At 47.2% G+C, this 12,037-nt stretch overlaps 1 protein-coding gene across 5 annotated transcripts in view, besides 1 other annotated feature; it reads left to right on the top strand.

Annotated features, from left to right (window-relative positions):
• The window catches only part of VPS39 (VPS39 subunit of HOPS complex), a 49,604-nt gene extending 37,998 nt beyond the window's left edge, over nucleotides 1-11,606 (top strand). For 2 of the 5 annotated variants that reach the window (NM_015289.5, NM_001301138.3), the window contains 14 exons: nucleotides 441-583; nucleotides 2,770-2,913; nucleotides 3,394-3,535; nucleotides 3,658-3,744; nucleotides 4,075-4,148; nucleotides 4,491-4,589; nucleotides 5,194-5,311; nucleotides 5,821-5,949; nucleotides 6,579-6,681; nucleotides 6,912-6,957; nucleotides 7,826-7,975; nucleotides 8,141-8,275; nucleotides 8,534-8,625; nucleotides 9,478-11,606. In NM_015289.5, the coding sequence (NP_056104.2) occupies nucleotides 441-583; nucleotides 2,770-2,913; nucleotides 3,394-3,535; nucleotides 3,658-3,744; nucleotides 4,075-4,148; nucleotides 4,491-4,589; nucleotides 5,194-5,311; nucleotides 5,821-5,949; nucleotides 6,579-6,681; nucleotides 6,912-6,957; nucleotides 7,826-7,975; nucleotides 8,141-8,275; nucleotides 8,534-8,625; nucleotides 9,478-9,553 (1,538 nt within the window). In that variant the 3' untranslated portion in view covers nucleotides 9,554-11,606. Of the gene's footprint in view, nucleotides 1-440; nucleotides 584-2,769; nucleotides 2,914-3,393; nucleotides 3,536-3,657; nucleotides 3,745-4,074; nucleotides 4,149-4,490; nucleotides 4,590-5,193; nucleotides 5,312-5,417; nucleotides 5,589-5,820; nucleotides 5,950-6,578; nucleotides 6,682-6,911; nucleotides 6,958-7,825; nucleotides 7,976-8,140; nucleotides 8,276-8,533; nucleotides 8,626-9,407 lie in introns of those variants that run through there. The other 3 variants (XM_011521404.3, XM_011521403.3, XM_047432322.1) reach the window with 2 other exon arrangements.
• Nucleotides 10,441-10,940: an enhancer, noted in NCBI's record as "H3K4me1 hESC enhancer chr15:42451565-42452064 (GRCh37/hg19 assembly coordinates)". NCBI's record gives its function as "activates a minimal SCP1, AML or CMV promoter by ChIP-STARR-seq in naive H9 embryonic stem cells {active_cell/tissue: H9 hESC(naive)}" and the evidence as "EXISTENCE:reporter gene assay evidence [ECO:0000049][PMID:30033119]".
• Nucleotides 11,607-12,037: the final 431 nt, after the last annotated feature.

The raw sequence follows: 12,037 nt of genomic DNA, 5'->3' as shown, positions 1-12,037 counted from the left end.
TAATCAACAAATTAGCCTCTTGCCATATATACTACAAATATATTCCCTAGCCTGTTGTCTTTTTTTTTAGTAATGTTTCTTTTTTTGACTTAAATTTTTTATTGTTGAGTCTCTTGATCTCTTCTACTTCAATATCAGCATTTTTCCTTAGAAATTTTTTATTCTCTACTTTCAGAGGCTTGATAAATATTCAATTCTAATTATGTGTGTGTATTTGAATATAGTCAGGCATTTTTGTGATGTTTTAGTGAATTTTAACATATGTATAAAAAGTGCTCAAATCATAAGTCTACAGCTCGTTGAATGTTTATGAACTGAGAGTCTTTTTTTTTTTTTTAAATCAGTCTGGAACTTATTTTGCTATAGTAATAGTCCTGTTTTATTTTATCCCTAAATTGTTGGGCTCCTTTCCAGAGGAATCATGTTTACCTTCCATATAGATCCCACCCATGTGATGGGCCTGTACCCTGACCTGCTGCCCACAGACTACAGAAAGCAGTTGCAGTATCCCAACCCATTGCCTGTGCTCTCCGGGGCTGAATTGGAGAAGGCTCACTTAGCTCTGATTGACTACCTGACACAGGTAGGTATAGTACAGAGTGCGTGAAAGAGTTTGCCTGGGAGTTTCAGTACTTGTTTCTTTGTGGCAAGGAATTGAGGGCCTTCTCTAATGCCAAGGCAGTCTGTAAATTAATGCTGTAGGAAGTCTGCCTGGGGTAAAGTTTCTTTCTGCTACTTCTAACTTTACAGTACCATTGAGGTGGGGTTTTCTGCCAAATCTTGATAAAAATAAACACACCCAATTCCTAGTAAATTCACACAAAGCTGTTATAGAAACTAAAAAAAGTAAATTTTAGTTGATAGAAGCATACAAGTTTTTTTAAAACAAACTTTTTGTAATATACATGGTTTTGGGGAAAATGCCTCCTGTATGTGGAACCACTTGGAAAACACACACAAAAAAGTACAAAGCAGAAATACAAATTACCTATAACTCTACCACCAGAATGTAAGAAACTAACATTTTAGTGTTGTCCTTCTAGACTTGTATATCTATGAATTAGCTTTTGTTTATTTACTTCTTGGTTTATTTATTGCAAATGGATATCAAATTGTAGATTGTTTTATAGCTTAACTTTTTAAAAATTTAGCCATATACTGAGAAAGTACTTCCTTATCAATAAATGTCCTTATATAACATGTTTTTTAGGGAGGTATTTAGATTTAAAATTTTTTATGATTTACTGTTATAGACAGATACATTTTTTAAGTCAGCACTAAAGCCAGCATCTCCATTAAAGTCTCTTAACCCTAGATTTCTGTCACAGAAGGCTATTGTTTATTTCCTGTGTACCCATTCAGAATCAGAGACCTTATTGATATTTTTTCCTCTTAAGTGTTTTGCAGATCTTTGTAAGAGGTCTCCAGAATGCTCTAGGGTAGGCACTGAGAAGTATTGCTGTTGGCCGGGTGTGGTGGGTCATGCCCGTAATCCCAGCACTTTGGGAGGCTGAGACAGAAGATCACCTGAGGTCAGGAGTTCGAAACCAGCCTGGCCAACATGGCAAAACCCAGTCTCTACTAAAAATACAAAAATTAGCTGGGTGTGGTGGCCCACGCCTGTAATCCCAGCTATTCAGGAGGCTGAGGCAGGAGAATTGCTTGAACTCAGGAGGCAGAGGTGGAAGTGAGCCGAGATTGCGCCACTACACTTCAGCCTGGGCAACAGAGTGAGACTCTGTCTCAAAAAAAAAAAAAAAAAAGAAGAAGTATTGCTGGAAAAATTGTCATGCCACTTTCCACTCCCTGCCTCTGGGTCAGTGAGTCCCTGCAGGTCTGATCAGGCATGGGTGGCCTTGGCCCTTCCTTGACATTGGGCTCCAGGGGTACCCTCCTGGGGCTGGCAGCCTGCAAGGAGCACACAAACTTGCCACTGCCTACACACTGCACACACTGTGCTAAGTAAAAAAGATTCCTGGGCATACTATCTCCCAAAGCCAGTGGCATTGTGGAAGGCCCTCCACTGCCAATGTCTTAGCTGTAGGAAGGTGAGCACACGTCCTTCCCTGGCCTTCTTCACTGACAATGGGAATGTGTGAAGTAACTGACACTAGTATTGTGCCAGAGAGATGGCAGAGCAAGACCATGGGCTCTGCCAGACTCAAGAGAATACATACTGGATGAAGTTCTAGGATAGGCAGAAACTCATCTCCAGGGATCAAAAGCAGATCAGTAGGTGGGATTGTTTGGGAATAGCACGAGGAACTTTCTGGAGTGATAGAAATGTTATCTTCCTTCACTGAGGTGGTTACATGCATGTACACATCTGTCAAAATGTATCTGATGGTACACTTTAAAAGATTAGATTTTATTGTAAGTTATACCTCAATAAGGTTGATTTTTAAAAAAATAAAAGAACATGGGCTTTGGAGTCAGCCCCCAGTGTGAATCCTGCCCTACCCCTTATGTAGCAGCTGACACCTGTGCCTTGGGTTCCTCACCTGTAAAATAAGGATAATATTATCGGCACTTGTTTTAGGTTTAAGATGGTATATATAAAGTGCTTGGCATGGTGCCTGGTCTGTAGTAAATATTCAATAAATAATTGTTGTTGTCTCTGTGGCAATTTGGCAGTGCTAAAAATCGAATGCTAATGTGAGATCAGGCCAATAGGCATGAGCTGATTGGAGGTATTCAGAATTACCCAGTAGCTCAGATGACAAAGGAAGACTTAGTCCTGGCCTTAACCCCACATTTTGACCTTTGCAGAAACGAAGTCAATTGGTAAAGAAGCTGAATGACTCTGATCACCAGTCAAGCACCTCACCGCTCATGGAAGGCACTCCCACCATCAAATCCAAGAAGAAGCTGCTACAAATCATCGACACCACCCTGCTCAAGTGCTATCTCCATGTGAGTTACCTGAGCGCTCGGGTGCCACAATTCCCAGTTACCCTGACAGTCTGGGAAAGTAAAAGGGAGTGCTAGACCCTGAGGGACCTGCCATTAGTAAGAGTGAAGTCTTTGATTCTGGAAACCATATAGACTTCTCCTGATGTCTGTGAGTCTCTTGGAATTAAGAGGATAGGGCAAGATATCAATGCACAATTGTACAGTGGATTCATCTTCTCTGGTCGGATTGCAGTTAGTGCTACAAAGTCAGCTGGGACAGTATTTCCTTCAAGAAATGTTCTCCCCCACAGAACATTAAAACACATTGTGCGAAGGTCCATAAATGCTCTAAAAGCCTCTACCTGCTGTCCTGAAAGAGGGCTGTCTGCTTTCTCTTGCTTGTGCTACATTCCTGGCCTTTCAGCCTAGAGCAGGCCTGGGCCAGGGAAGGGTGGGGCTCCCCAGGAAGCAGTTTCCACTGAACTCCTGCTCTTTCTGCAGACAAATGTGGCCCTGGTGGCCCCCTTGCTACGCCTGGAGAACAATCACTGCCACATCGAGGAGAGCGAGCACGTGCTAAAGAAGGCTCACAAGTACAGTGAGCTTATCATCCTGTATGAGAAGAAGGGGCTCCACGAGAAAGGTGTGGGAGTGGTTCCTTGGATCTGGGAGGGGCTCTTGTACATGGCAGGGGAAACCCACTGAGATATGGAAATCTCCCGTGGGGAAAAGGCTCATGACCTTGTTCTTGGGCTTGGTGGCCAGCTCTGCAGGTGCTCGTGGACCAGTCCAAGAAAGCCAACTCCCCTCTGAAAGGCCACGAGAGGACAGTGCAGTATCTGCAGCATCTGGGTAAGTCCGCCTTTTGAAAGGGGTGGGAAAGCGCTCCTGTTCAAATGACCTGGTCTCCCTCTGTTTCTGTTTCTGGTTGGTTGCTCCCCTCCCTCCCGTGCTCGTGTTCACTCAATTTCATTCCTCCAAATGGCATAAAAGTCCCTCGGTGGTTGGCCTGTGACAGCCCCCTGGTATGGAGCCAGCCCAGTAGGGCTAACAACCCCAAGTGGCTCATGCTTGAGCTGTCTTTTCAGGAAAATGAATTCTGGGGCAACCTGCCCACCTGCCTTCCCAGTGCCACAGGCAAGATGGGCCTCAACTGCTGACAAGTCCTGCTTTTCCTTCTAGGCACAGAAAACCTGCATTTGATTTTCTCCTACTCAGTGTGGGTGCTGAGAGACTTCCCAGAAGATGGCCTGAAGGTGAGCCACAGGAGTCCCTTGGATTTATCTGGTAAACACTTGGTTCTGATTGCACTTGAGACAGCAGTGGATGGAGAGGAGGGTGGATTCATGCATCTGTCTTCATTGGTGCATGAAGAAAGGGTGGACTGGGAAGCGCGAGCCAGCACTGTAGTTGGTAGAGAGAGCCTTACACAGGCATGAGGAGGCCTGTGCCTCGTCTGACATGCTGACTGCCTACAGATGCCTTCTCGTACCCTTGCCCTCCTAAAGTCTGTTTGATCCCTGCGCTCACATGCGTGTGTGTTTGCTGGAACTGCAGTCAGATGGTTCTGCTGCTGGAACTCGGGTTCATTCTAACAGATATTTACTGAAGATCTCCCGGAAGTGGAGTCTCTGCCACGTGATCGAGTCCTCGGCTTCTTAATAGAGAATTTTAAGGGTCTGGCTATTCCTTATCTGGTAAGGTATTTTTTGGTCTGCACTAAAAAGCTTTAAACCCAGGATCCAGGACTGCGTGGTTCTGTTATCGGGCTGTTCAGATTTGGGATTTATGTCACTTGGGGATTGGAAGGATGAGGGTTATTTCAGCTTCCTCTGAAGAAAAAGATCCCAGTAGACCAAGCTGGAAATGCTACCTACCAAATCTAGGTAAACTACAGAGGGATAAAAGAATAATGTTTTAGAAAAAAAAATTCCAAAGCCACATTTGGAAAAAAAATTCCAAAGCGAAACTCAAAAGTGACCACAGGACAATCAAATAGGCTTAAGTACCAGGATGCAGATATTTAACCACAATTACATGAGTCGCTATGAGAGTTTGGAGGATTATGGGACAAAATTAGTAAAATGGAGTTTAGTAATTGAGAAGATGGCTCCTCACGTTACTGGGTCGCATTGTGAAACTTCCTGGTGGCTTTAGACGAGCTGTCTCTTAGTCATCTTTGCAGCCCGATTAGGGGATAATCTGGATGGGACCTGTTGGGCCTTAAAAATGTGAGGGAGGCTGGGAGACCAGGTCACAGCCTGGAGAATACCAGTGACAAAGACCTACATCTTGCCTCAGGAACACATCATCCATGTTTGGGAGGAGACAGGCTCTCGGTTCCACAACTGCCTGATCCAGCTATACTGTGAGAAGGTGCAAGGTCTGATGAAGGAGTATCTCCTGTCCTTCCCTGCAGGTACCAGTTCTTTTAGGAAGCCGGTTGGCCCCAGGCCTTAGAGGAGAGCACAGACCCAGGTGCCACGTGTGGTGGGGGTAAGCAGGCCACCCTATTCTCTGCCCAGGTGCGCAGAAGTTCTGAAGAGGAGCCAGGGGAGCTAAGTGACACAAGCCTGGCACATGAGACTCAGGAGCTCTTGTCTAGGTCCTGGCATCTCTGAGTGTCTCAGAGTCATCCCTCGGGGAGGGTGGAAGGAACAGACCTGTCTGCAAGATGACAGCTATACTGATAAGAAACAGGTTTGCCCACAGAGTATTTCTCTATTCAGCTTATTTTTTTAACCGTAAGCTGATGTTTTGGGGCCACATGGAGACTATGAACTAAAAGAAGTTAGCATGGAAGCCACCCTGGAGGCCCTTTCTGGTCATGTGGTGACATCCTTGAACCCCATTCCCTTCATTTTTCTTGATGACCCTACATTGCCACCTGGCAGTGTCCTTTCATTTTGAGCTTGGTTTCCCTTAAAGGCAAAACCCCAGTCCCAGCTGGAGAGGAAGAGGGTGAGCTGGGAGAATACCGGCAAAAGCTCCTCATGTTCTTGGAGATTTCCAGCTACTATGATCCAGGCCGGCTCATCTGTGATTTTCCCTTTGATGGTGAGTGTCTGGCTTAGGGCCAGAAGCCACTTCAGCGAAGGTCATGCAAAGACTAATCCACCCCTTTAATTGTTCCCCAACTCTCCACAAAAGTTGGGCCTGGAAAAACCAGGCATTTCAGGCCAGTGCTCCTGTTTTGTCCTCTCTGAAGACTCACTTTTGTACCGTGACTGAGAAAAGTCTCCTTCCTGGGTATGAACCACATGCTAATTGATAGCCAGGTTGCAACCTGTTTTTTGCTTCAGAACATGTTCTTGGCCAAGTTCATTGTTCAGCAGTTTTTGTAATCTGGCATAATTTGTCTTTATGAGAGCTGAGAGCAAGCATTTGCTCATCTTACCTGAACCACCTAGCATGTTGTAGGTGGTTGTTAAGTACTTGGCTGCTGAATGAATATTCTTACCCAGTTTATATGTGACCTCAAAAAAGATGGGATAAAGTACTTCCTAAAATAGCTCCCTCCCCCTTTTTTAAACTTCAGTTATTTTCTCCTTGAAGAAAAACCCAAGCAATAAGAATCCTATTGTCTTCCCTTTATATTGCCTCGTGTCCACTCCTCTGACAGCATAGCCCCCACCTTGTGCTTGCGTGATGGCGGCAGTGGTTCCTCATATTCCTTTTCCTCCTAGGCCTCTTAGAAGAACGAGCTCTCCTGTTGGGGCGCATGGGGAAACATGAACAAGCTCTTTTCATTTATGTCCACATCTTGAAGGATACAAGGATGGCTGAGGAGTAAGTTTGCCCCAACATCCCACCTCCTAAGCAGTCTAAAAGCAGGCCCTGCAGAGAGATGAGAGTTAAGAAGGCCATCTCCCCATACTCCACTGCGGGAGCAAGAATCGCCTCCGTCCTGGCCCGCAGTTTTGGCTGTGGTTAGGCTGCTCGAGCAGGCTGCACGCACAGCCTCTCATTTAGATGTGCCCCCCTCACACCACCTGCTCTCACCACTCTCTCCCTTGCAGGTACTGCCACAAACACTATGACCGAAACAAAGATGGCAACAAAGATGTGAGTAGTGACCCTGACCCAGGGAGCACGTGTGCATACCTCTCCCCGTTGGTTTGACCAGAGGTGGCAATAATATGAGTGGCAGAATAAGACAGGGCACGAGTCAGGGCTCTGATTGATCTTGCATGTGTGTATTGAGGGACAGCAGGGGACCATTCATCCTGGTGTGCTTGGGGTAGTTCTGGCGTATATCTTTGTTATCCCTGTGATTAATAGCACTCCTGTCTCTTTACTCTCTTGATTTGTGTCATAAATTATGAGGTCTGCCTGTCGAGCGGGAACCCGTCATGGTTCTGATGTACTATATCTTGAATACACATTGACTTTTCAATGTCTGGAGACATTTTTGATTGTTGTGACTGAGGACAGGGGTGCTTCCAGAATCCAGGGGGTAGAGGCCAGAGATGCTGCTAAACAATGCACAGGACAGCCCCCAAACCAGGAATCATCTGGCCCCGAATGCGCACTGAGGTTGCGAAAGCCTGTGGTACTGGCACCAGTAGGCAATGCAGCATCTCACCTTAGGATATCCCCACCTGCAAAAATGTGACGGAGTCTCAGCTTTTAAAGCCAAAGGAAATGAGGAATCTTTTTGAATTGTTTTACAGTGGTAGCATTTTGTAAATGGCATAATGGTAAACGAATACAAGGCATTTGGTTTTTTCTCTCAGGGAAAAAGCAATCCTTAATTAACATCTTCAGTTGCCTGTTTGACCTTACCAATTTACAAGGTGAAAATGACCAGTTTTACATGCTCAGTGATAGCTGTTACTGTAGGCGAGCCCCTCGAATCGTTAGGCATGCTCAGTGCTGGGGGTTCTGGGAGGGTTGCTGCCAGCCTGACGTAGCTCATGTCTCTCTGAGACAGGTGTATCTGTCCCTGCTTCGGATGTACCTGTCGCCCCCCAGCATTCACTGCCTGGGGCCAATCAAGCTGGAACTACTGGAGCCAAAAGCCAACCTCCAGGCCGCTCTGCAGGTCCTCGAGCTACACCACAGCAAACTGGACACCACCAAGGTCAGGAGTTGTTCCTAGGGAGATGGAGGGTGTTTGCAGGGAGCACCGAATGAGAAGAGGAAATGTGGAAAGGGACTAGGGTCCAAGAGCTCCACGGCTGCAGACATTTCTTCATTCTCACTCCTGTTCACCTCACCCAGTCCCTATCTCTGTTCCTGTCCCTAGGCCCTCAACCTTCTGCCAGCAAACACTCAGATCAATGACATACGCATCTTCCTGGAAAAGGTCTTGGAAGAAAATGCACAAAAGAAACGGTTCAATCAAGTGCTCAAGAACCTTCTCCATGCAGAATTCCTGAGGGTAGGTATGGGCCTTCCAAACTCTAGGGTGGGCTTTTAACTTTTAGTATGAGACAATGTCCACATGTTCCCTTCTGACCAAGGCAGAGCCTGTACAGTGCAGCTCAAGCTGATCCAGTAGCCAGCTTGACATTGAATTGCCAATGTTCTAAGCAGAAGAATCTGTGACGACTGAAAGAGGACACAGTTGCTGGCCTCTGCCTCCTGTTTCTGGGTGCCACACTGTAGAACTTCTTCCTCAATCCCCCTGTTCTTCCAGGTCCAGGAAGAGCGGATTTTACACCAGCAGGTGAAGTGCATCATCACAGAGGAGAAGGTGTGCATGGTGTGTAAGAAGAAGATTGGGAACAGGTGAGCCTCCTTCACACCTGTGTGGCATCTGGGCTTTGTGGAGGTTCCCAGGGGTGGAGAACGCTCAGGATGGATTTCTGCCCTTTAACAGAGAAGGAGAACATGGCTGCTGGCTGTCCTGACAACTTTTAGTTCTTGAGCCTTCAGAGAGCAGCCTGTTCTATCTGTTGGGAGTGGGCTTCGAGAATTTAAAGACCTGCAATGTATGGTATGGAGCTGTTGGATTCTTGTCCATAAAACTCTTCCCCTCTTGAAGCTAGAACCTGATATAGTGGGTGCCCAAGAGATGTAGGTCTGCAGAAAGTTCTTATAAGGAAGATCCAGTGAAGGAAGAAAAAGATCTTTCAAGCTACTGCATTGTGACTCAAGTAGGATCCTGAGCCAGACTCATACTGTGTTAAGACATATACTCTAGTTAGTCCCCTTTTCTTCAAAGGAGAGTGATTTGTCTCTTATGTAGCTGGAAAAATATTTTTCTTTAGAAAGACAAACTCGCCGTCCTTTTCAGAATTAGCCTGAAACCTGTTCTGATGAACATTGTTGGCTCTCAGGAAGCCAGGGCTGAGCTTTGGGCTGGTGCACTGCCCATCTTTAATATGCCTTGTGTTTTGCATAATAAAAAAATACCCCATGCACTCTTAACTGTGTGCACCTCATCCTCTGTTTGGTTATTTGACAGAGATGATGGCTACAGAAATCCAGAGCCCCTCAGGCAGGCTGTTCTTTGAGGTTTGGGTGGGCTGCTTTTGGAATGGCCCCCCAGCAATGTGCCTCTTCTGTAGGAGGTGCCGCTGCCAGAGAAGTGGTCACTTAGAAGCAGTCCTCACTCCCAAGCCATTTTCTTCCCTGCAGTGCATTTGCAAGATACCCCAATGGAGTGGTCGTCCATTACTTCTGTTCCAAAGAGGTAAACCCAGCTGACACTTGAGCCCAGCATCCTGGGGATCCAGCGGATGGACAGCTTGGCTCTCCCAGAGAGGTGAAGGAGCACCTGGCCTTAGGAATCCTGGCTGCCACCACCACAAGGCTCCCCATTTGGACATTACTGGCTATCTTGTGCCCTGGAACAACTCTGAATTAATTAGACTCATGGTCTGGCATTGCCAGCTTTTTAATGGGAAAAGAGATTAGTTATACCTTATACCATTATGTTGTGGGCAATTCCAGAGAATTCAGTACCTGCTTGGTCAGGAGGATGTGCACCATCTTGCCTTTGCACACCAGTCACCTGAACAAGGAAACTTGTCACAAGTGTTTGTAACCATGGGGTTGTTCATCAAGGGCTTTTCTATTAAGTACATGACTTCACAAGGACCGCTCAGCATGGCTCACTGGAGAGTTCCATGAGAGAACAGCACTCAAGCTTCTGGCCGCATGGACCCGATGGCTCGCATTCTGTGTAGTGTTTTACGTCTCCATGGTAACTGTGCCCTGCACCCCTCGGTAGCCGCCCTGTTAGTTTTCAGTCTCCTTTTCTTTCTCACCATTTATCACTTCCCTCACTGCCCTACCCAGGCTTTCTCTCCCACTTCCCTGACTCTGGGAATAACTAATATTTAAGCAAGGTAAGATGAGAAGCAAGGGGTCTCAGTTCTAGGAATACAGTGCTAGTTGATTGTCAGGTATGTTGTAAATAGACCCTCTTTGGCCATACACTCCATGCCTAGATGCCTCGGAGAGCATCATTCTCTGCCTAGGCAAGGCCCTGCATCCCTTGCCTCAGGCCGGGCTGAGTGTGACTGCAGCTCCTGAGGATGGGCCTGCCCTGTCTGGGGTATGCGTGATCCCTAGATACATGTTCCCACAGAGGTGCCTGCTCCGTCTTCGCTCACCAGACACTCAGGCAGGCTGGCTTAGTCTTTGTGCGTGGCGATTTTGTGCTCTGGGCCCTTTCTCTTTTTCCAGCCAGTTTCCATTCACTTGCCTTACAGCCTGCCCTGGCCGTCACTCCCCAGCTTTGTTCAGCAATGGTGTGGTTGGAGAGTTGTGCTGGGATAGCGCAGGAAGGTGGGTCCCGGCAACACGCAGGGGATGAGTGGACCTGGAACTGACAATGGCGTGCTGCCAAGTGTTCCTGAGAGGTGTTTAGGCACAGCAGAGGGGACGCGGGGGGCAAGAACAGCAGGACGCTGGTTTAAAAATAACTCACCGCCAAACCTGTGGAGCAGTGTGGGGCATCCTGCCAGAGGTGCACAGGCTGGAGTTTCAGGCACTGCAGGCTGATGACACACAGGGAGAGTGGCCCTGCCTCCTGTCCTCCCCGGGGTTTTTGCAGACTCGAAGTCTCACTGCACCAGTGTCTTTGATGGTGGTGAGGGTGGGTGATGGTGCCCAGCACCAACAGTTTTAGTGGCCTGTCCTTGACCTGCCGTGGTCCTTTGTAAACTATGGCTCCATGCTGTGTGACAGATCAACGTGCTGATGGTAAGTAGACTAGGCTTCCCCAGGCATGCCGTCCGTGGGGGCCTGAAGAGACAGTGAGTGCCATTGGCCCCATTCGCAGATGTGGGAGACTCTGCTCAGGCCTGTGAGGCTGGGCAGCCCTTCACCAGAGTTCGGAGGAGCAGTGTGTGGCGCCACGTCCCGACTGGCCATACCCACACAGAAGCAGTGCTGCCCGGGGCCTCATCTGGGCCAGCTTGGACTCTGCTTCCTCCAGGAGCAGCAGGGAAGCTCTGGGCCACCTCCCTGGATAGCAGGAACTTGACCTGCCATGTGTGCCCTGCCTTCCTGGCCAGCTGTGCTTGTTATCTTCCATTCTCACAAACTGTCTTTGAAGCAATAGAATAAAGAATGTGTGTTTTCTTTCCTGGTATACATACATGATCCCATGCTCCCAAGCTCCATTCTTCCTTCCCTCAACTCTCTGCCCTCCACAGAGCTATGGAGAAGGCTGGAGATGAAAGCTTTGTAGTGAGGACTGATAAAGATCTCATCACTGCTCCTTATAATAAACCTAATAAAGCAAGAAACCAAGCCTATCTGGGTCTCTTATTTCTCCCTCCCGTGGAGTTTGATGAAAATAACAATGAAAAGATAGTAGTTTAGCAAAGAACTTAGAAGAATAAGCCAATTAGTGACCAAGAAAAAATGAATATAATACTTGCATTACAAATGCCACGTGGTACAGCCAGTGTGGTCATGGCTGATGAGTCAGCAGCACAGATACGGAACACATCCATCATTACAGAATTCTGCGGGACACACTGGCGTCTGGGAGATCCAAGTGTTTTCCCCCATCATGTAGTAGCACCTGGTGCCTCTTCCTGCAGCCCATGATGAAGGAATTGGGATGGAGGGACGCAGAGGTGTTTGGGAAGTGGAGAAGTGTTGGTTCACTTTGGCCAACTCCAAAGAGAAAATGTAGTCCTTGTTGTCTCTGTCCCATCTGGCACTAGGGGCAATGACTTTA

The sequence above is a fragment of the Homo sapiens genome, chromosome 15 (genome assembly GCF_000001405.40).
Source record: "Homo sapiens chromosome 15, GRCh38.p14 Primary Assembly".
Lineage (NCBI taxonomy): Eukaryota > Metazoa > Chordata > Mammalia > Primates > Hominidae > Homo > Homo sapiens.
This window is presented reverse-complemented; position numbering and strand designations above follow the sequence as displayed.